Source organism: Homo sapiens, chromosome 15 (genome assembly GCF_000001405.40).
Source record: "Homo sapiens chromosome 15, GRCh38.p14 Primary Assembly".
NCBI lineage: Eukaryota > Metazoa > Chordata > Mammalia > Primates > Hominidae > Homo > Homo sapiens.
The window spans coordinates 63492198-63510264 of record NC_000015.10 but is presented as its reverse complement, the minus strand read 5'-3'; the positions used below and the strand labels follow the sequence as shown (position 1 = coordinate 63510264).

At 46.2% G+C, this 18067-nt stretch overlaps 1 protein-coding gene across 5 annotated transcripts in view, besides 11 other annotated features; it reads right to left on the bottom strand.

The window, feature by feature from the left end:
- USP3 (ubiquitin specific peptidase 3) overlaps positions 1–5672 on the bottom strand; it is a 90041-nt gene extending 84369 nt beyond the window's left edge. For 4 of the 5 annotated variants that reach the window (NR_046341.2, NR_046342.2, NM_006537.4 and 1 more), the window contains exon 1: positions 5435–5672. Coding sequence is in view for 2 of the 5 variants with exons in the window: in NM_006537.4 (NP_006528.2) it covers positions 5435–5525 (91 nt within the window). In the remaining 3 variants the exon portion in view is untranslated. Of the gene's footprint in view, positions 1–4528; positions 4548–5434 lie in introns of those variants that run through there. The other variant, XM_047433394.1, reaches the window with a different exon arrangement.
- Positions 4861–4940: a silencer, noted in NCBI's record as "silent region_6519". NCBI's record gives its function as "represses an Ori minimal core promoter by ATAC-STARR-seq in GM12878 lymphoblastoid cells {active_cell/tissue: GM12878}" and the evidence as "EXISTENCE:reporter gene assay evidence [ECO:0000049][PMID:35858748]".
- Positions 5011–5210: a silencer, noted in NCBI's record as "silent region_6518". NCBI's record gives its function as "represses an Ori minimal core promoter by ATAC-STARR-seq in GM12878 lymphoblastoid cells {active_cell/tissue: GM12878}" and the evidence as "EXISTENCE:reporter gene assay evidence [ECO:0000049][PMID:35858748]".
- Positions 5281–5390: a silencer, noted in NCBI's record as "silent region_6517". NCBI's record gives its function as "represses an Ori minimal core promoter by ATAC-STARR-seq in GM12878 lymphoblastoid cells {active_cell/tissue: GM12878}" and the evidence as "EXISTENCE:reporter gene assay evidence [ECO:0000049][PMID:35858748]".
- Positions 5741–6080: a silencer, noted in NCBI's record as "silent region_6516". NCBI's record gives its function as "represses an Ori minimal core promoter by ATAC-STARR-seq in GM12878 lymphoblastoid cells {active_cell/tissue: GM12878}" and the evidence as "EXISTENCE:reporter gene assay evidence [ECO:0000049][PMID:35858748]".
- Positions 5741–6598: a biological region, named in NCBI's record as "NANOG-H3K4me1 hESC enhancer GRCh37_chr15:63795866-63796658".
- Positions 5806–6598: an enhancer, noted in NCBI's record as "NANOG-H3K4me1 hESC enhancer chr15:63795866-63796658 (GRCh37/hg19 assembly coordinates)". NCBI's record gives its function as "activates a minimal SCP1, AML or CMV promoter by ChIP-STARR-seq in naive H9 embryonic stem cells {active_cell/tissue: H9 hESC(naive)}" and the evidence as "EXISTENCE:reporter gene assay evidence [ECO:0000049][PMID:30033119]".
- Positions 6599–7392: an enhancer, noted in NCBI's record as "NANOG-H3K4me1 hESC enhancer chr15:63795072-63795865 (GRCh37/hg19 assembly coordinates)". NCBI's record gives its function as "activates a minimal SCP1, AML or CMV promoter by ChIP-STARR-seq in naive H9 embryonic stem cells {active_cell/tissue: H9 hESC(naive)}" and the evidence as "EXISTENCE:reporter gene assay evidence [ECO:0000049][PMID:30033119]".
- Positions 7071–7120: an enhancer, noted in NCBI's record as "active region_9538". NCBI's record gives its function as "activates an Ori minimal core promoter by ATAC-STARR-seq in GM12878 lymphoblastoid cells {active_cell/tissue: GM12878}" and the evidence as "EXISTENCE:reporter gene assay evidence [ECO:0000049][PMID:35858748]".
- Positions 12049–12228: an enhancer, noted in NCBI's record as "active region_9537". NCBI's record gives its function as "activates an Ori minimal core promoter by ATAC-STARR-seq in GM12878 lymphoblastoid cells {active_cell/tissue: GM12878}" and the evidence as "EXISTENCE:reporter gene assay evidence [ECO:0000049][PMID:35858748]".
- Positions 12928–13017: an enhancer, noted in NCBI's record as "active region_9536". NCBI's record gives its function as "activates an Ori minimal core promoter by ATAC-STARR-seq in GM12878 lymphoblastoid cells {active_cell/tissue: GM12878}" and the evidence as "EXISTENCE:reporter gene assay evidence [ECO:0000049][PMID:35858748]".
- Positions 15543–15602: a silencer, noted in NCBI's record as "silent region_6515". NCBI's record gives its function as "represses an Ori minimal core promoter by ATAC-STARR-seq in GM12878 lymphoblastoid cells {active_cell/tissue: GM12878}" and the evidence as "EXISTENCE:reporter gene assay evidence [ECO:0000049][PMID:35858748]".

Sequence of the window (18067 nt, the reverse complement as noted above, 5' to 3'; positions counted from 1 at the left end):
TTAAAACAGGAATTTAAATGACTCACTGAGCTACACACTAAATTACTCACTGGTCTACTCACTGAGCTGCAAACACTATAAAAACATAAGTATTTCTAAATCTAGCTTGAAGGATCCAAAATCAATCTTTTATATTCCAGTGGAGAAGGAAATTACATACATTTCAATGAGGAAAAAGGAGGCTGTTACACGAGCCTAAGGCTAATGGTGTACAAGCAAAGAATGAGAATAAATTATTTTGAGGATAAATAACAGGAAACCACACCAAAGAGTTCGAATTCTTCCCCCAACTCCATCATTTCTTCTGCTTAGACCATGAAGGATGTTCTGTATACACTATTAAGCATATTATTAGGGAAAGAACTTCTCATCAATGTGTCAAAACTTCTTCACAACAAGTAAATGTTAGGCTCAATCTCTATACTGAAGCTTCTTTAAACAAAACACATACATGGAGCACATTCTAAATTTCACACATTTCACATCCATGAGCAATCATTTAGAGACTCTAGAAATAAGCTGAGATTGCTCTAAGATTCTGGGGGACGGGGTTGGGGAGGAATACTGCAGAAAGACTAGAAAGACATTTGACTTAAGCTTTATAAATATTACCAAAAAAGTTTAAATTCTTCAGAAGGATATATAAAACTCAAATACTACTTTTTAGAATTAATGTGAAAAAAGTATCACCTGTCCACTGATTTTTAACTACCCCATCCACATTTACAACTAAATTGTCCACCTGCCCATCTATAAATACAGACTGCCAAAAGAACACAAATTCATTGTGATAACAACACTGCAGATGGTCATTTGCTCACAATCCAGCCAACGTTTACTGACTAAAATACTGGGAGTGCGGGCTAGTGAAAGCATTCTGGGGAAAGTTCACTCTGCGTTTATTTTCAACATAAAGACCCTGCCAGACACATCTAAGTGATAGTTCCTTTATTTATCAGGCAAATATTTACTAATTGCTCTATTAAGTATTAGGCACTTAATAAAGACATCATAGAATGTTACTAAAAAGCAGTAAAAGCATTTGACCTAATGACAAGGAAATGACTGATTGTATTTAGAAAATTTAGTCCACTGGGCAAACGAGTGTTAAATGTAGGTTGTGGAGAAATACGATACAAAATAACCCATCACTCCATCAAGGTTGATTTCTTCTCTTTATCACAACCTGATCAGTCCATTACAAATTTATTACCACTGACAACCAATAATCAACACCTCATCCTACTGAATGGATCTCTTAAAAAAGGGTTTATCTCCAGTATTTTGGGTGGAATTATCTGCAGTTTTTGGTGCAAAATTGCAGAACATTTACTTGATCTACACTTACTTTTCTTGGGTAGAGTAATATGAAGGCAAGTGTGTACTGAAAACTTAAAGAGGCACTCTCAACTCATTGAAGAATTAATCAGGGAAAAATTAGCATGCCTATCCTACTAAATATCTCTAATTTAACTGGCTGTTTAACCCAAACCCTCAAGTTCAAATGCTTGGTCCTTGGCTTTCCTTAGTTATCAAAACACTTGCATTCAGGGCATCTTTTTAAACAATTTTTGTTTTTTCCCACTGGTTAAACTCTTTTACCCACAAAAATAAGGAATGCCCAAGCCTCCAACTTCTGAAAATAACATCTGGTATGTGCACATAACAAAAAGCTTGAGAGAATGCCCTTTTATTTAAAACTTTTTCATTTTAAACTAGAATCCCTTAAGCAACAATTAGACATAAATCAGCCTTTACGTTATTAGGAGATAGCTATTTTCAACATTTACCTTAAACCACATGGATGTATCTTCTAACTAGTTAGCTTCCTGTCTCTCCCCCAGCTAGATTAGACTGTTAACTTTTTTGGCAGCAAAGGACTACTAGAGCCCATGCTCTATTTCCCAGCTAATACATTTCAAAAACCTCAGGTCTCTACAGAAACATAAACGTTGGTAGCCTTAAGGATTTCTCTAATTTTTTAAAGTTATTTTGATATGAGCAGGTATCCTTAACTGTTAACTATAGCTTACACAAGTGGGTTCTCAAAGTGTGGTCCTGGACCCCTGAAAGTTTCCAGGACCCATTCAGGGGATCCAGAAGGTCAAAACAATTTTCATACATAATATTTAAGATGTTACTTTTGTTTACAGTCATTCTCTCACAAGCATGCAGTGGGGTGTTCCTGAGGCTGCATGATGTGACATCTCAAGAGACTGAATGCAGAAGCAATGTAAGAATCCAGCTGTCTTCTATAAAGCTGAACAAAGAGTTACAAAAAGGCAAAATAATGCCATTCTTCCCACTAAATTTTTGTTTTGAAAAACATTTTACATAAACTGTCAATTTATGTTATGGGTGTGGGTCTATTATTATTTGTAAGCATATTAATAAATACATATTTTAAGTTTTTCTCAGTTTTAATTTCTAATAAACATCATCAACAGATATAAGCTACACGAAGGCTCTTCAGGTGCTCAACAATTTTTAAGAGTGTAAAGGGGTCCTAAGATCAAAAAGTGTAAGAACCACTGTCATACACAATTATATAACCCAACACACAGTGCCTTCCATGGATAAGAAGCTCATGCTAATTCTGAAGTATAATTACTTCTTACTTCTTGTAATCTTGTTGAGTTCTGTATCTCCCTGTAAAGCATCATTCAGCATAAAGCCAGTCTGTTCTAGTCCCCATTTAATGGGCTTTGGATATTTAATTATTCAGAGTCCTCTTTACAAAGATGTTCTGACCTCTAATACCACCTATTACTAGAACAGTGTATACAAGTTTCTCAAAGTTTTCACAAAAAATTACCTTGTTCATCCTAACAGCAACCTGTGAAGTAAATGCAAAGTATTACCCTTTTCTTTGCAGATTATATAAGGAAACTGATACTCAAAGAAAATAGAACTATTTGTCCAATTAGGTACTGCTAACTGGTAGAACCTAGAATGTTGTGGCATTTTGCAATTTGCTTGGCTGTCTTACCGTGGTATAATTGCAAACTCGCAAAGAAAATAAGGCAAGGGCATTACTTTTATTGTCCCAGTGCCAAAACAGGGATTTTCCCCTCCTTAATAAGAACATAATCAGATTCAATACCCAGTCACAGTATTAGTCAACACATCGGCTACCCTTTTGGTCCCCTATGAAAAAAACAAAAATAAAATAAAATCAAGAGTGTGGGAGAAAAAAAATACGACTATATAACACTCCAAGATAATGAGTTAGTTAAGGACTCACAGATTCATCATTTAATCACTGAAACGACAGGCACGCAAGAACAAGATCAAGCTTAATACAATAACGCTAGATTATATCAACAAATGGATGCCAACGGGTTAAGACGGGAGGCCTACATAAAATGGGTTCAATTCAGAGTGTGGACTCACACAAAGTTGCGAAACTCGCTTTATTGGTTCTACAAATCCAAGTAAGTGACTAGACCCAGGCTTGCAAAGCTATATGTCAGACACACTTTGTTGCAAGATGCAAAGATGTCATCCTACCCCTTGAACAGAAATCACCCCACATACTAGTTTATTCTTGTTATCAGCACATCTCGTTATGCTCCATTTTAACTTATTAAGTTCCTCAAGAGATGCTCAATTTCCTGCATCTCTTTTTCACAGTCAAGTGGACTCCCTGACTGACAGAGGCAAGACTGACTCACAAGAGGGCATCTGCCACTTGCACAGTTCTTTTCCATTTTTTAGATGTATGTGCCCAGTGAAGCCATTTTTAAGTTTGATGTGATTTTACCTAAAAAATGCCAGAAGTGTGCTAATTGTCCATGTTGTCTTTCTGTAGTTTACTACAGATGAGCAAGAGCAATCCCACCATTCCCTGTGAGGTAGGCTTCTCCTAGTGTTTACTTTGGTCTTTTTTTTTTTCTTCAAATTTCTTTTGGGAAAAAAATTAAGTTACAATTATAGCACCACAGCAATGGCTACAGTTATAGCTAATGTACCACCACCAACCAATTTGTAAAGCAGTGCCATACACCTTATTTGTTGTTCTATACTCAACATCCCGACAGATTTACAGGTAAAAGCTAATTTACACAAGTTTCTGCATCCTCACAAAAGAACTGCAATACTGCTCTGTGAAACCAATTAACCGTTAATTTTCAAAGGCTTCATGCAGAAAAAGATACCTGACTTTACAAAGGCAAGCAAAGCATCAGACGTCTGAGCGCGCCAGGAAACCGCAGTTATTTCTATTCCTTATCCCAGAGTACATTTTTCTTTGTGGACCTACCGATGTTGTTTCCAAGAACATAATCACTATTTAAGTAGTAAGCTGTCAAAAGTGCTAAGGCATTCTCTAAACTATCTTCCCAGCTCCGGCCCACAATGAGACATGTCACAGCTAAATCATACCATTGCCGTTTTTCTATATTTCTTCAAATGAACTTCAGATTTCTGAAGTGCACAATTCGAATTGTACGCTATTAATATAACCCAAGATACCAGTGACCATCTCAAAGCTAATAAACAAAGACTAGCGGTGGCACCAGGGCCCTACCAGGAAGTAAGCAAAGCCGTGTGGCCGGTGCGATCCTAAGAAGTCGCTTAGAGCAGACAATGAGAGGGCACTGGGGCTTCCAAGGGGGCCAGCAGGAGTTAAAACGCTTAAGCTACTCAAAAGCCTTATATAAATCTAATAAGTGTTTCACAACACAGGAACTGGGAATCCCAACGCATTTTCGGACAACCCAAAAGGTCTGAAAAACAAACTCGAGCAGTCCCCTCCAAAGCAGCTGTTGGCTCAGCCTCCGAGCTTCTCAGCCCGCAGCCTGTTTTCAAACTTCACCATCCCTGACGGATGAAAGACCCCGACCTCCGCCGCCCGAGCTCCCAGCGCCTCTCGGGGTTTCGAGGTGCCCGAGCCTGCGGAGAAGGGAAAGGAAACCCGGGCCGGGTTCGGCGGAGGAGAGGAGCCCCGCGCGCCCCGCAGCCCAGACAAAGCTGCGCCCGGAGAGCGGCGCTCTTCCCGCCCTGTCTGCGGAGAAGCGCGGCGCGGGCCCCGCCACACGTGCGGCCGCCCCTCGGGGGCCGGACACCCGCCCCACAGGCGACCCCGCAACACGGACGGGCACAGCCCCCGGCCACGGCAGGGCGGGGCAAGGGCGCACGCAGCTGGCCAGGGTCCCCGCCTGCCGCTGCCCCCACGCGCTCGAGGCCTCCGCGGACTCCCGCCCCTCGCGGCCCTCTCCTTCGCTGGCCCGGCCGTCGGGCCTCGGGAAACAAAGGAGCCGCCGCCGCTCCCGCACGCGCCCGCCTCATCGCGTACCCTCCCCAGCCCGCCGGGCCCGGCTCGCCCTCGCCCCTCCCCGAGTCCGCGCGCCGGCCGCCTGCGGCCCCTAGACGGCAGGCCCGGCAGAGCCGCGGCCTCGGGTGCGCTGCGGGGCCGGCCCGTGGCCGCACTCACCGCTGCAGCACCAGGACGACGGGGAGCCGTTGGGGAACTTGGCTGAGTCCGGAGCAATGCAGACGCTGGAGCTCAGGTGTGGACACTCCATGGCCACGAGGAGGGCAGCTGGGAGGACTGCGGCTCCAGGACCCGGCGAGGTGGGGGCGGAGGAACTCCGGAGGCTCCGTCTGGTGTCGCTTCTAGCCGGGCGCTCGGCCGACGGCGGCTGCGTCTCGAGCCCTTGCGTCAAAGAAAGCACGGGCTTCCGGACGCCGGGTTTTCTCGCCCGCCGTCTCCCGGCGCCCCGCTCCGTAGAACGTGTAACTCCGAGATCCGGGTTCTGCAGCCACCCCTAGACTGGAGGCTTCCGCCTTTCCAGGCCGGCCCCTCCCCGCCCCGCCCCCGGGTCCGCCCCCGCCCAGCCCGCGGGGTGGGGTCCCGGCGAGCTCCAGCTGGTGGCGCAGAGTCCGGCTGTGTTCCGAAGTGACTTTCCTAGTCACGCCGCTTCCCCGGCCCCGGGAAGGGTGGGGCGCCGAGCAGGGCACCCCGGGCCGTCCGCGGCGTTTCCTGCGGTGGGCGGAGGATACTGAACCTATGTGGTGCGGACTACTCGGTGGCTTCGTGGTAAAAATCCGGCCGCTCCGCAAAGTGTAAAGAAGAACTTTAAAACCTCTCGGGCAGACAGGCACCGTGGCCCTCATTTTATACACGAAGAAACAAGCTGGGGAGGCCAAGGGCCTGGCCCCGGGGGAGGCGGGCAGCGGGTTTCATGGGTGCCAGGGCAGTCCCGCCCGACTTAGCGTTAGGCTCCTTGCGGCAGGTGCGATCCGTAGCCCTTTCTAGGTTCTGAACACGTGGCGTTAGCCAGCCACCTAGATGCTGCGTGGGTGGGCCCGCAGGGGCGCCCATGAACCCACGTTCAAATCCTGTCACTGTGACTCACCATCTGCGTTACCTCCAGCACATCGTAGGACTTTCAAGCCAGGAAGTTCAAGTGAGATAAACGTAGCCTGGGATTGCTGGGCAAGCTAAACTCCCCATTACCAGGCGATAAGAAGGGAAGGGATCTAGCATTTGTTAGATACCTAAGGTCTCCCAGCCAGGCACTTCCCATACCGCATTTAAGCCTCGCAACACCCTACCAGCTGTTACCATCCCCTTTTTACCGCAGGGGGAAACCGAGTCTGTAACTTGTTGATCTGTATGGAGATTGGATCCCTGACCCTCTGACCTCTTTTTAGTGAGGGATTAGAGAAGAGGGCAAGCCTCAAGGGGCCGCTTGGGCCGGCATACCCTGGATCGAGCCTGCGATCTCACTGGGGCACTTGAGGACGTCCGGGGCTATTACAAATATTGCTTCCAAGTTGGGGCTCCTTGTAAAACCCGGCGAAGGAGCCTCGGGGCCAGAAGGCGAGCAGGAGGAGGGGGAAGACTGATGTGGCAATCCTGCGGCCAGAGCGAGAGGAGGAAGGAAGGTCAGGAAATGATTAACCGGGCCGGGCAGTGGTTAGAGCCGGGCACCTCCCCGCAATGCAGTCCTAGAGCAGCCAGGGACGCCCCGTCAATCACTTCTTACTCCTCCCTACCTCCCACGCCACAAGTCGGCCTCTTCCGCATAGACCTCTGCCTAATGGTATCCACCCACCGGGGGCACCTCTGCTCATCCTTTCCCCAGAAGTATTTCTGGGTCCTCAAAGATCTGTCCTTTTCCAAGTGGTATTTGCTGTTAGAGCAAGCCTCGGCCTGGGATTTTTATGGCAGTGATGCGTTGTGGAAAGTGCGTCTGCCTAGGAAGGCAGGCCGGCATGCTTTCAAATCTTAGCTCTGCTGCCTACTTGACGGCCAGGCTTAGCAAGCGTCTCTAGCCGTTCCAAGCCTTTTCTAGATCTGTAAAACTGGAAGAAGAATACTTGTCTCGCAAGGAACATGTGAGAATTCATGAAAATTGCCACCACATACTAGGTGGCCAATAAATTATAACTTTGTATTTGTTTTTACTGACACTAGATGAGAGCTGCTTCCCTGGGAAGCGGGAGGAGGAGAAACAATAATATCTGCCCTTGGCTCAAGTTCTTCCACCCATCTCTCCATGTCAACCTATTTGTCTTTAAGGCCTTGCTCCACCAACCTTCTGTTTCCTCCGGACACCCACCCCCACTTAGCATCCATAACCCCTTGTTCGGCCCTGGAGCATGACCTCACTCAGGCCATGCTTCATACTGGTATGTAATATTTCTTCACCCTCTCAGAGACTCCGTTTCCTAATCCCCTAGACTTCAGTTTAAACATCACTTCCTGAGGGAGTCTTTCCCGACCCTTTCCCACCCGCAGGGTACCTCCCAGTGTGTGATGTCCTTGTCTGCCCCAACACCGGCTTTTAAAAACACTTAAAACAAAAAACAAAACAAAAAAAAAAACAGTGTCTCCTATATTGCCCAGGCTGGTCTCGAAATCCTGGGCTCAAGAGATCCTCCCGCCTAGGCCTCCCAAAGTGCTAGGATTACGGGCATGAGTCACCGCGCCCGGCCTAAAAACACTCTTCATGCGTGTAATTATTTGTTTAATGTCTCTCTTCCTCTTGTTTGTCCATAAGGTAGCAAACAAGTCTGTCTGGTTTTCTGCTTTATTTCTAACATGCAATGTAGAACATGGAGGATGTCTGATAAGTAAGTGAATACATGACATGAACGGGTGAGTGTGCGGTATGTTAGCCATGTCTACCATGGGCAAGAGCCTAGCAGGTGGCCCAATATTTGCCAATATTTGACCCCTAGAGATGATCTCTAAATTTCCTTTCAGTTCTAGCTTTATGATTTTAACGGAATCAGGAATGTGAAAGTGCTTTGTAAGGTGTAAGCTATTTTAAGGGAAAAAAAAGTTTCCATTAGTGACTTCTCTCCCCAGCTAGAATAAAAACCCTTGGGAGCAGGGGCCCTAATTTAGTCCCGATTGTGATAGTCCCCAGAGGGCAAGCTCTATCAGGCAGTCCAGAGAAGTTGGGCAAAATCAGAGAGGCCCTCCTGGGGCGTTTGCTAGATTTCCCTAAAATAGTGAACTTTCCTGTGTCTTTGAAAGTTTCCATAATAAGAAAAGAGTGGAGAAAAAGAAACCCGCAGTGAGTAAATGAGTCAAATGGGGGAAGACCATGAGGCACACTGGGAAATCTGCCTTTTCAGTCCCTCGTTTCTTCAGCTGCATTTAATACAACATTCGCGTTTTTATTCTTGGCCCGCATCCCTCTGGCACTGAGGAGCTCTGACTTACATCCCAGGGAGCCCTGATGGTGACGAGCCAGCCTCCAGCCTCCAGCTCCCGTGCTCTTGAGTGCGCTGCTCCCGGGATTCCCCACCCAGCCCTCTGGACATCCGGGGGCGGGGAGGGAGGGTGGTTTCCGCGGCAAAACCTGCCCGAAGCGGCGGGCCTGTTCTAAAAGTTTGCATTTTTCAAAGGGGAGGAATGCAAAATTGCAACCGTACTATCAAATGTTTCTCTCCTAAAGGATAATTGTGTATATACATGGAAGTGGGGTCGGTAGTGAGGGGAGGGCAAGGTCATATATTGCAGGGGAACCACTTCAGGAAAGGTCTCAAGGTTGCCGCGATTTTCCTAAAACCTTAAACTTAGGACTTTTGGCAGAATTGATGGTCCTTAACCAACAATTACAAGGCAGACCAGGCCCTGGGGAAAACTAGCTCTGACTATCCTCACCCAGGGAAGGCTCATTGGAAACACTCCGAGAGATGGCTTAATTATTAATATTTACCATAGAGATTGTTCTAGGAGCAACGCCTCCTTGGGAAACCAAAGTTATATCAAGAGGAGGCTTGGTAAGTGTTGGGGGCAGGGAATGGGCCGCTGCCGCTCAGAGACTCTTCTGTTGCCTGGTTTAATTTTCCTAGTGGCACCTATCTAATATTTCCTTGCATGTTTACTTGCTTATCTATTGTCAGTCTCCATGAGAACAAAGATCTTGCCAGTGCTGTTGGTTGCCTGATTTCCAGCCCCTGGAATACAGCCTGGTAGGTGGCAGGCCCTCAGTAACTATTTGTTGAATGACTAAATAAATGGAGAGGGGTGGGTGTGGGCTCCAACCACCCAGCTCTCACTTCCCCACTCAGGAATACTGGTGGTGTCATTCTCCCCACTACTTCCCATTTACCCCTTTCACATCATCTCCCTGCTGGAATTCTTCAGTGGTTCCCCACCTTTTGGAAAAAATCCAAAACCCACTGCTCTCACAGGTACCTGGCCCCTCCCTTTTATTATAACTTTTTTTTTTTTAACTGTTACAGAAGTATTTCAAATAGTCCCCTCATAGAAATTGTGCTTCCTCATACCTCCGTGTCCTCCCCTGTCTGGTCCCCTTCTACTTGGTCTGCTCCTACTCCTTCCCCATGAAGCACATAGCCTCTTCCGGGAAGCCCTCCGTCACTCACCCAAGCACACTTCTCACATGGTGCTGTTATTTTCTGTTCACATTTCAGTCTGTCTTGGGAATAGGTGTTTTGTTTTTTTTTTTTCATCTGAGGATTTTCAGCACCTAGTTCAGCAATAGCAGATCTTAAAAAATTTGTCCACTGAATGTTGTTGGAAGTGCTCCTTTTTAAAGTGATTACAGCAATAATTATATGATATGGTCCCCTAAGTATTCAGAGAAAGGACCTCAACTATTTGAGAACGGAAACTTACATGTTATTGGGTCCCAACTAGGTGTCTGATACTGTGGCAACTTGTTGGGACCCAATAAATACTATGGTTTTTATTTCTTCTTTAATCCTTCCCCCCTACCAATGCAAAAACAAAAAAACAAAAACAAAAACAAAACCTTGGAGGTGGATATTATCATCTCCATTTTACTGGTGAGAGAACTAAAGTTCAAAGAATGTTAAATAATTGCACAAATTTACACAATCAGTAACTGGTCTTTTATCAAAAGAGGTAAGGTTTCACCCCTCATGCACATGGTCATGTCAATGATTTTGCAGTATTACACAGGAGAAGCCAAAGTTCCGAATAATGGAGTCATTTAGTGACCACAGGACACAGACAAGCCTCTGAGTAACTGAAGAAAGATTTATGTTCGGTGCCATTGTTGTAATTACCGCATCATCAACATATTGACTTATACTGCTTTTAACGCTTTCCTCTTTATCATTGAAATCTCCTTTTATGAAGGAGATGAGGGGGTTTTCTTGTTTAAAGACCCACTTTGCAGATAAAGCACTGACAGATTAAGCAAAACAGTGTGGCTCTAGCACCAAACAACTTTTATTTATTTATTTATTTATTTATTTTGAGACACGGTCTCTTTCGTCCTGGCTGGAGCAGGATCGCAGCTCACTGCAGCCTTGAACTCCTGGGCTCAAGCTATCCTCCTGCCTCAGCCTCCCAAGAAGCTGGAACCACAGACATGTGCCACCACACCTGGCTAATTAAAAAAAAAAATTTGTAGAGAGAGGGTCTCACTATGTTGCCCAGGTCTCCAGTGGCTCCAGCCTCAGCCTCCTGAGTTGCTGGGATTACAAGCGTGAGCCACCTTGCCCGGCCCCAAACAACTCTTTGATAGTAGATAAGTCACTTCTCTCTGGGCCCCAATCTTTCTTTCCATCTGTAAAATCGGGGGTTGAACTAAATGACCATTGAGGGCCTTTCCAGAGAGAGAATCCAGCAATCCGGTGATAGTTCACAGTCATCCAGTGACACCAGCAGAGGCAACACTGCTTTGTGTGCTGTGGAAGAGACTGCTGTTTACACCAAATGTGCTTTCTTTTCCTCTTGGTTTCACAACTCGAAATTTCTCGGCTTCCCTTGTAGCTAGGTGTGGCCATTTTAGCCAACGCTGTCTGAGCAGAAATCACAAGAAAGCCTTGGCTGGGGCTGGGCGCAGTGGCTCACGCCTGTAATCTCAGCACTTTGGGAGGCCGAGACGGGCAGATCACAAAGTCAGGAGATGGAGACCATCCTGGCCAACATGGTGAAACCCCATCTCTAATAAAAATACAAAAATTAGCTGAGTGTGGTGGCGTGCGCCTGTAATCCTAGCTACTCGGGAGGCTAAGGCAGCAGAACAACATGAACCCAAGAGGTGGAGGTTGCAGTGAGCCGAGATTGCGCCACTGCACTCCAGCCTGGGTGACAGAGTGAGACTCCATCTAAAAAAAAAAAAAAAAAAAAAGGAAAGCCTTGGCTAGGGCTGTGAACAGCTGCCCATGACAAAAATACTTCAGTGTCCAGTTTTGTTTATCAATAACACATGAAGGAAATAGGAGAAATACATTAGGCCAGGCCTAGAATGAAACAGGTCTTCTAGGCTTGTAGTCTGCCCTTCTTGTGTTCTGTCTTCGAACATTCATTTATTCGGCACATCTTGTCTGTGCCCTACCACGTGCCAGGCACTGAAGATTCAGCAGCTCAGGGCTACACGGGTCTTCCATTCTGTTGACATCTCTTTGCCACTACCAAGATGGAAAATGTTGTGGTATCACTTATTTCCCCTTGCTCATTAGTTGCCTGATTAGACATCAGAACCTCTGAGTTTCAGTCAAAGGGCTGTCTAGACTCGGAGCTTTAAGCCTTTTAATTGTGAAAATGACATCACCAGTAAAGGGCCTGGCCTGGTGCTTGGCACACAGTAGACCGTCCATAAATGTCTGTTTTTTTGAGACCTTGGCAAAGAGGAGGATTGATGTGGGAGGTGGCGCAGAAGGTTAGATTTTTGTCATTTTAGAGAGATCTGAGCTAGATCATTCATTCAACAAATATCACTGTTGCACTAGGCTTTGAGATAGAAGAGTGTGCAACGCACAGATTAAGCCTCAAAGGGATGAGGCAAGGTATAAGAGAAACAGACTAGCAAACAGGCAATTGCAACACAGTGTGATAAGTGCTAGAAGGGGAAGTACAGGATGTTTCTTAGCCACAAACAAGGGGCAACTAACCCAGGCTGGTGAGTGGGGGTGGGGGAAGCATCAAGCAAGGCTTCCTGGAGGAAGTAGCATATGACCTGAGACTTGACGGAGACCTAGGCATTAGGAAGGTAAAGTATGGGGAAGGAGTGGGGAAGGGTGCATAGTGTCCCAGGCACACGGAACAGTATCTACAAAAGCTCAAAGGGGCTCAGAGAGGATTGAAACTGATAGTCTGGCTGGAGAGTCATGTACAAGGGGATGGAAGGCTGAGAGATGAGGCTGGCAAGGTAAGATGATGAAGGGCTGCTAAAGGGTTGTCACAGAGAACTGTGAGTAGAGGATTCTGGATCCCAGGACCCTGGCATCTTTCAGGGTTGCATTTTTTCAGGTCCTGGGAGAGGGGATAAGGGGGCAAAGATACAGAAAGAAAGGGGAGACAGAGTAAAGAAACAAACTAACAATTACTAAAAATCTATAAGATGTTCATAGCCTGGGCAACATGGCAAAACCCATCTCTACAAAAAATACAAAAATTCGTCAGGTGTGGTGGTGCACGCCTGTAGTCCCAGCTACTTGGGAGGCTGAGGTGGGAGGATCGCTTGAGCCCAGGAGGTTGAGGCTGCAGTGAGCTGTGATCGTACTGCTGCACTCCAGCCTGGGCGACAGAGCAAGGCTCTGTCTTAAAAAAAAAAAAAATTTTACTGTATTAGTCATCTGAGAAATGCAAATAAAAACCACAGTGCCTACCTAGCTAGAAACAAATAGACAGGGGTTAGAATGGAGATGTGACTCTCAGCCTCACGCATACCTTATCGTTACCAGATCTCTCCCAGACTATGTCCCAGAGGAGTTTACAACCCACTGAGAAGGAGAGACTCATAGACTTTAAGAAGTGAATTGTGATGGGAAGAAGAATCCAAGGCTTAGGGAACCTCCACCTCTGTCTTCCCCTCTTCCTTCCTAACCCTAATCTGCAGTGTCCATTCTTCTATCCAGAATATTCAGCTGACCAGAAAATGAATTTCCCAAACATCCAGAACATAGATTTTCATAGTCCCAGACCTTTCCATGAGGTGCTTGATGCATTGGAAAAAAGTGGGGCTTTGAGTCAAATATCAAGCAGGCTGGAGTCCTGCTTCTACCACTGATCTTGGGCCAGCAGCCTGACCTCTTCTGAGCCTCCATCTCTGAAATGGGAATAACATTAGCTGCTTCCAAAATGGTGACATCCCTACTTTATATCCCTCAGCCAGATACTTAATGTTTGGAAAGAGAGAGCAAGGATTTCTATGTTATGATCAGCACCACGTTCTGAAGTTGCTTTTGTGCATTTATGTAATCACACCACAGGTTATAAGCATATTTTATAATTAAGTCATTGAGAAAGCTCTGTGCTGACCCCATTATAAATATTTTCTGGCAGCAATAGCAGGGGAAAATATATTTATATTTAACATTACTACTGTCCAAAGAACAACGGTGAGAAAGTAAGGAAAGGGGCTTAGAGCTCTTTGGCCTTTCTCAGTTACCTGTGGGACAGCTGGGGTCTTCTGGCTAGAAATGGAGCCCAGAAGCAGCAAGGCTTCATGGAAAATTATGCTTCCTAAGAGCCCCTGGGGCAGAGCAATTACAGAACTGGAAGGGTCGGGAGTTTCGTAGAGGAGGAAGCTGATCCCAGATCCAGCATCACAGAGTCCTCTGGTCAGCTCCTGACACCATAATGCTCCTTGCTTGCCAGGTTCTGTGCAAAGCAAGCTACAGAAGAGGTTTTGGGGCACTGAACTGGCCTTTTTCCAGTGTGCAAACCATGCAAGCTGATTTTACTAGGGGAAAAGATGGCTGCAGAGGGAAAAGCACCAAATGCAGCAGTCAATACAGTAGTTCCCTCCATCAGTAACCTCCAGACTCACGCCCAGGAGCCCTCTGAAGGCAGCGGTAGCACCAGGATAGAGTGCCTGGTACAGATGAGGCACTCAGGGAATTACATTAATCTGGAAAATAAATGTGCATTAGCAGTGAAAAGCTTACTCTAAAGCTGGCTCTGCAAGGAACTGGGAACAGCTGTTGGCCTGGGGGTGGGGAGGCTGGGAGAAGAGAGAGAGGGGGAAAATTACTTTTTCACTATACACCATATTATTCTTTTTGAATTTTGTACCATTGGTTATCACAAGGTAAGTAATATTTTTAAAAATTTAAAGCCTAATGTTATTCCCCAATCAGGGAAATTTGCAGGATAATGGGAGGGAGAAAGTGGGTCTTTAGAGTCAAACTAACTTGAGTTTTCACTCCAGCTAATCCTACTACTTCCTAGCTGTGTGTCTGAAAACAAGTTACTTAGCTTTTCAGAGCCTCATACTACTTAACTATGTTGGGGAGAATGAGCATCCGCTGCATTGTGATGTAGGTGAAAGTGATAACAGCAACACTTAGGAGATTCACTATGTGCCAGGCACTCTTCTGAATGCTTTCTGGCTGTGTGTGGACTCATCCTCAGGACAACACTGCAAGAGGGATATTATTCTTTTATTCCTCCCCATTTTACATATGAGGAAACTGAGCCATAGAGAGACTGAAGAACTTGCTTTAGTTCTTTAGTTCTTTAGGCAGGCTGTTTACCTCCCAAGCCCAGCTCTTCCTACCTCTACTCTGCTGCCTTGAACTGTTAGCATCCTCTTCCTTTCAATCAGGAATTCTTAGAAATGCAGACATTTTCAACATCCAAAGAAATGTCTTTCTCATAATGGGCTGTTGGATATGGTCACAGGCTAGTGAGGGCAGTGCTGGTTAGGGAATTAGCAAAGCAGGTGAGAGAGAGAGAAAGAGAAAGAACTCTATTGAAGTTAAGAATTTTGCAATCAGAGGATGTGATTTAATTGTAGCATAGCACAATCATAGCTCGCTGTAACCTTCAACTCCTGGGCTCAAGCAGTACTCCTGCCTCAACCTCCCGAGTAGCTGGGACTACAGATGTATGCTACTACACCTGCCCAGTTTTTTAAACAAAAATACTTTTTTTTGCTATTTTACCCAGGATGGTCACAAACTCCTGGACTCAAGTGATCCCCCTGCCCTGGCTTCCCAAAGTGCTGGGATTACAGGTGTGAGCCACTGCACCAGCCTATTTTTATTTTAAAATGTTTAATTATATATTAGAGGAGGATTCCATAAGGTCTTCAGGACTTAGGGCCTACAAAAACATTAAAAGGGTGGAGCAAACTTTTAGTCAGGGTTGCCTCCTCCATCCCCCTCAAATGGGTCCTGGGTTGAGTCACCTTCTGCTTATGTTGCTGACTCTGTGGTCACCCATAGTAGGTCTTTCTGTGATTAACATCCTGATACTAACTTGTCTGTGGTCATTTACCTATTCTACTTCGAAGATTGAATCAAAAAACAATCGCAGGGCCAGGCGCTGTGGCTTACGTCTGTAACCCCAGCATTTTGGGAGGTCAGGGCAGGAGGATTACTTGAGCCCAAGAATTTGAGATGAGCCTGGGCAACATAGTGAGTTCCTGTCTCTACAAAAAATTTTTAAAAATTAGCTGGGCGTGGTGATGCATGTATGTAGTCCCAGTTACTTGGGAGGCTGAAGCACGAGAATCTCTGGAGCCCAGGATTTTGAGGCACTCCAGCCTGGGCAACAGCAAGATGTCGTCTCAAAAAAAAAAAAAAAAAAAAAAAAATCCCAGTGACTTGAATGTTCCAGGCAGTTGGTTTCTCAAGTTCATTGAGTTTTTACTGCACTTGGAAAAAAAGGTTTTTTTCTGCATTTCTTTAAAAGAGTTTCAAAGTAAGTAATGAGCCTGAATGGGCAAGGGGTAAGGACACTTATTTTCCTTTGGCTGAATTGAAGGTTCTTCCTCCCCATGTCCCAGAATGGTTCATTTCCTTCCAATTTCCCCTGTGCGTGCTCACTACCCCTCCTACTCTAAGACCCTCAGTGTTTCCTTTAGGTCTTTCCTTGCGCCTCAGAATTAGGCCACTTGCCCTTCTGAGCCCCTCCACAGGCCTTGGAGGGGCCTTAGGCTCGGCCTATGCTCAGAGCACTCCCAACGCTGGGACCATCCCTCCTCTTCCTGCCCCCTGAAGTGTCCAGCCTGGCAGTGGACCTTGGCCAAAGAAGAGATGAACCATGTGAAGACCTCATCTCTGCCTCCCATCACCAGTTTTCTCTGCAAGCTCACATCATCTCTTCCTGCCTGTCATGCTTTATCTATAAGCAGCTTTCAGCAGCTCCTTACTGCCCCCAGAAGCAAGCCCAGACCTTTCCCTGGCATCTGGACTCTCCTGCATTTGATCCTGACTGACCTGCGAGGCTTGCCTCTCTCCATAGCCCAACCCAGGCCTGACTGTGGAGCAGATCCTGAATGCTGTCACCCTGGCTCCTGGCTCGAGCTGTTTCCTCTGCCTGTTTCTCTCCAGCCTGGGGAAGTTGACCCATCTACCAGGGCCTAGCACAAAGCCCATTTCTTGAAAACTTCTTCCCAGCACTTATCTCATTCATGTTCTCTCTCCTTTCCTTCCCTCCTTCCCTACCCTCTTCCTCCCTTCTTTCTCTCTGTCGCTCTCTCTCTGCTTCTCTCTCTCTCTGTTTCTCTCTCTCTGTCTCTCTCTGAGTGTGTATTGATCTCCCTCCTCAGCCACGTTCCTATGGGACTCCCCTTTTACCTCTGAGATAGCACTTATTTCAGGCTGCTTTGGAGTAGAGTTCTTCATGTTCATACCACCTCCCAGGTTAGAAATTGTGCTCCTGGAATTGAAGAGCTACCCATTCTTCATTCATGTGCATATTGATCATCTGCTGGCCACACCCAGGGTTTTGCACCTGGAATAGGTTCCTAATAAATGTTTGGCACTTGGTACAGTGGCTCGATGGACAGAGCGAGCCTTGGCTTTAGCAATGGATAGCACACCTCCTAATGTGTGACCTTGGACAAGTGACTTACCCGCTCCAAACCTCTTAGGTCCAAAACCTATAAAACGGGGGTTAAAATAGTGCCTACCCCATAGAGTGGTGAGGGATAAATGAGATAATGTGCAGAACATGTAATGTAACACTTACCACTCATAAACTAGGCATGAGTCACCAGCTTCATCCTACAAACACTTTCGGAGATTTACTTTTGCCCTGGATCCTCTGGAGTGGGTACTGGGGAGAAAGTTACTAGAATATTCATGTTGAAAGACAAAGATGACCTCGATGCAGTCTGGGCCTGGCTACAGAAAGGATGGTTAAGTCTGAATGGATTCTAAAGAAATCAAGGGCACAACGCTGGCAGCCCCAGGCCCTTATAAAAGGCGGGGCCTCTCTCTTCCCAACTAAAGAAATCAGACACTGCCTAGGAAACCAGCTCCTTTAATCTCCTTACACTAAAGATTAACACCTACCAGAGTCCCTCCCCAAAGCCATCTTCATACTTTTTAATGTGAGCCTGAATAACTGGAGGACAGGAAAGGCAATCTGGAGCATGGAGAAAGGGAATTTTCAAAGGAACTTGGCCATTGTGTCTCTGGCACTGAGGTTGAGGGGAACAGAGGCCAGGAGGGCAGGACTCTAGAAAGCCAGGGAGCCCCTCCTGTCATTGAGACACACATTGAATCCTTTTCCTTGGATTCCAGGAGCAGCAGTCCTGGACAGGGGCCATGGAGGGTGAGGTATAGTGGGGAGGGAAGGGTGGGTGGGAGCAGAGCAGTATCCTCCCTCTCTCTGGCCACTGTGGTTCTCAGCGTACATTCTTAAATGGGT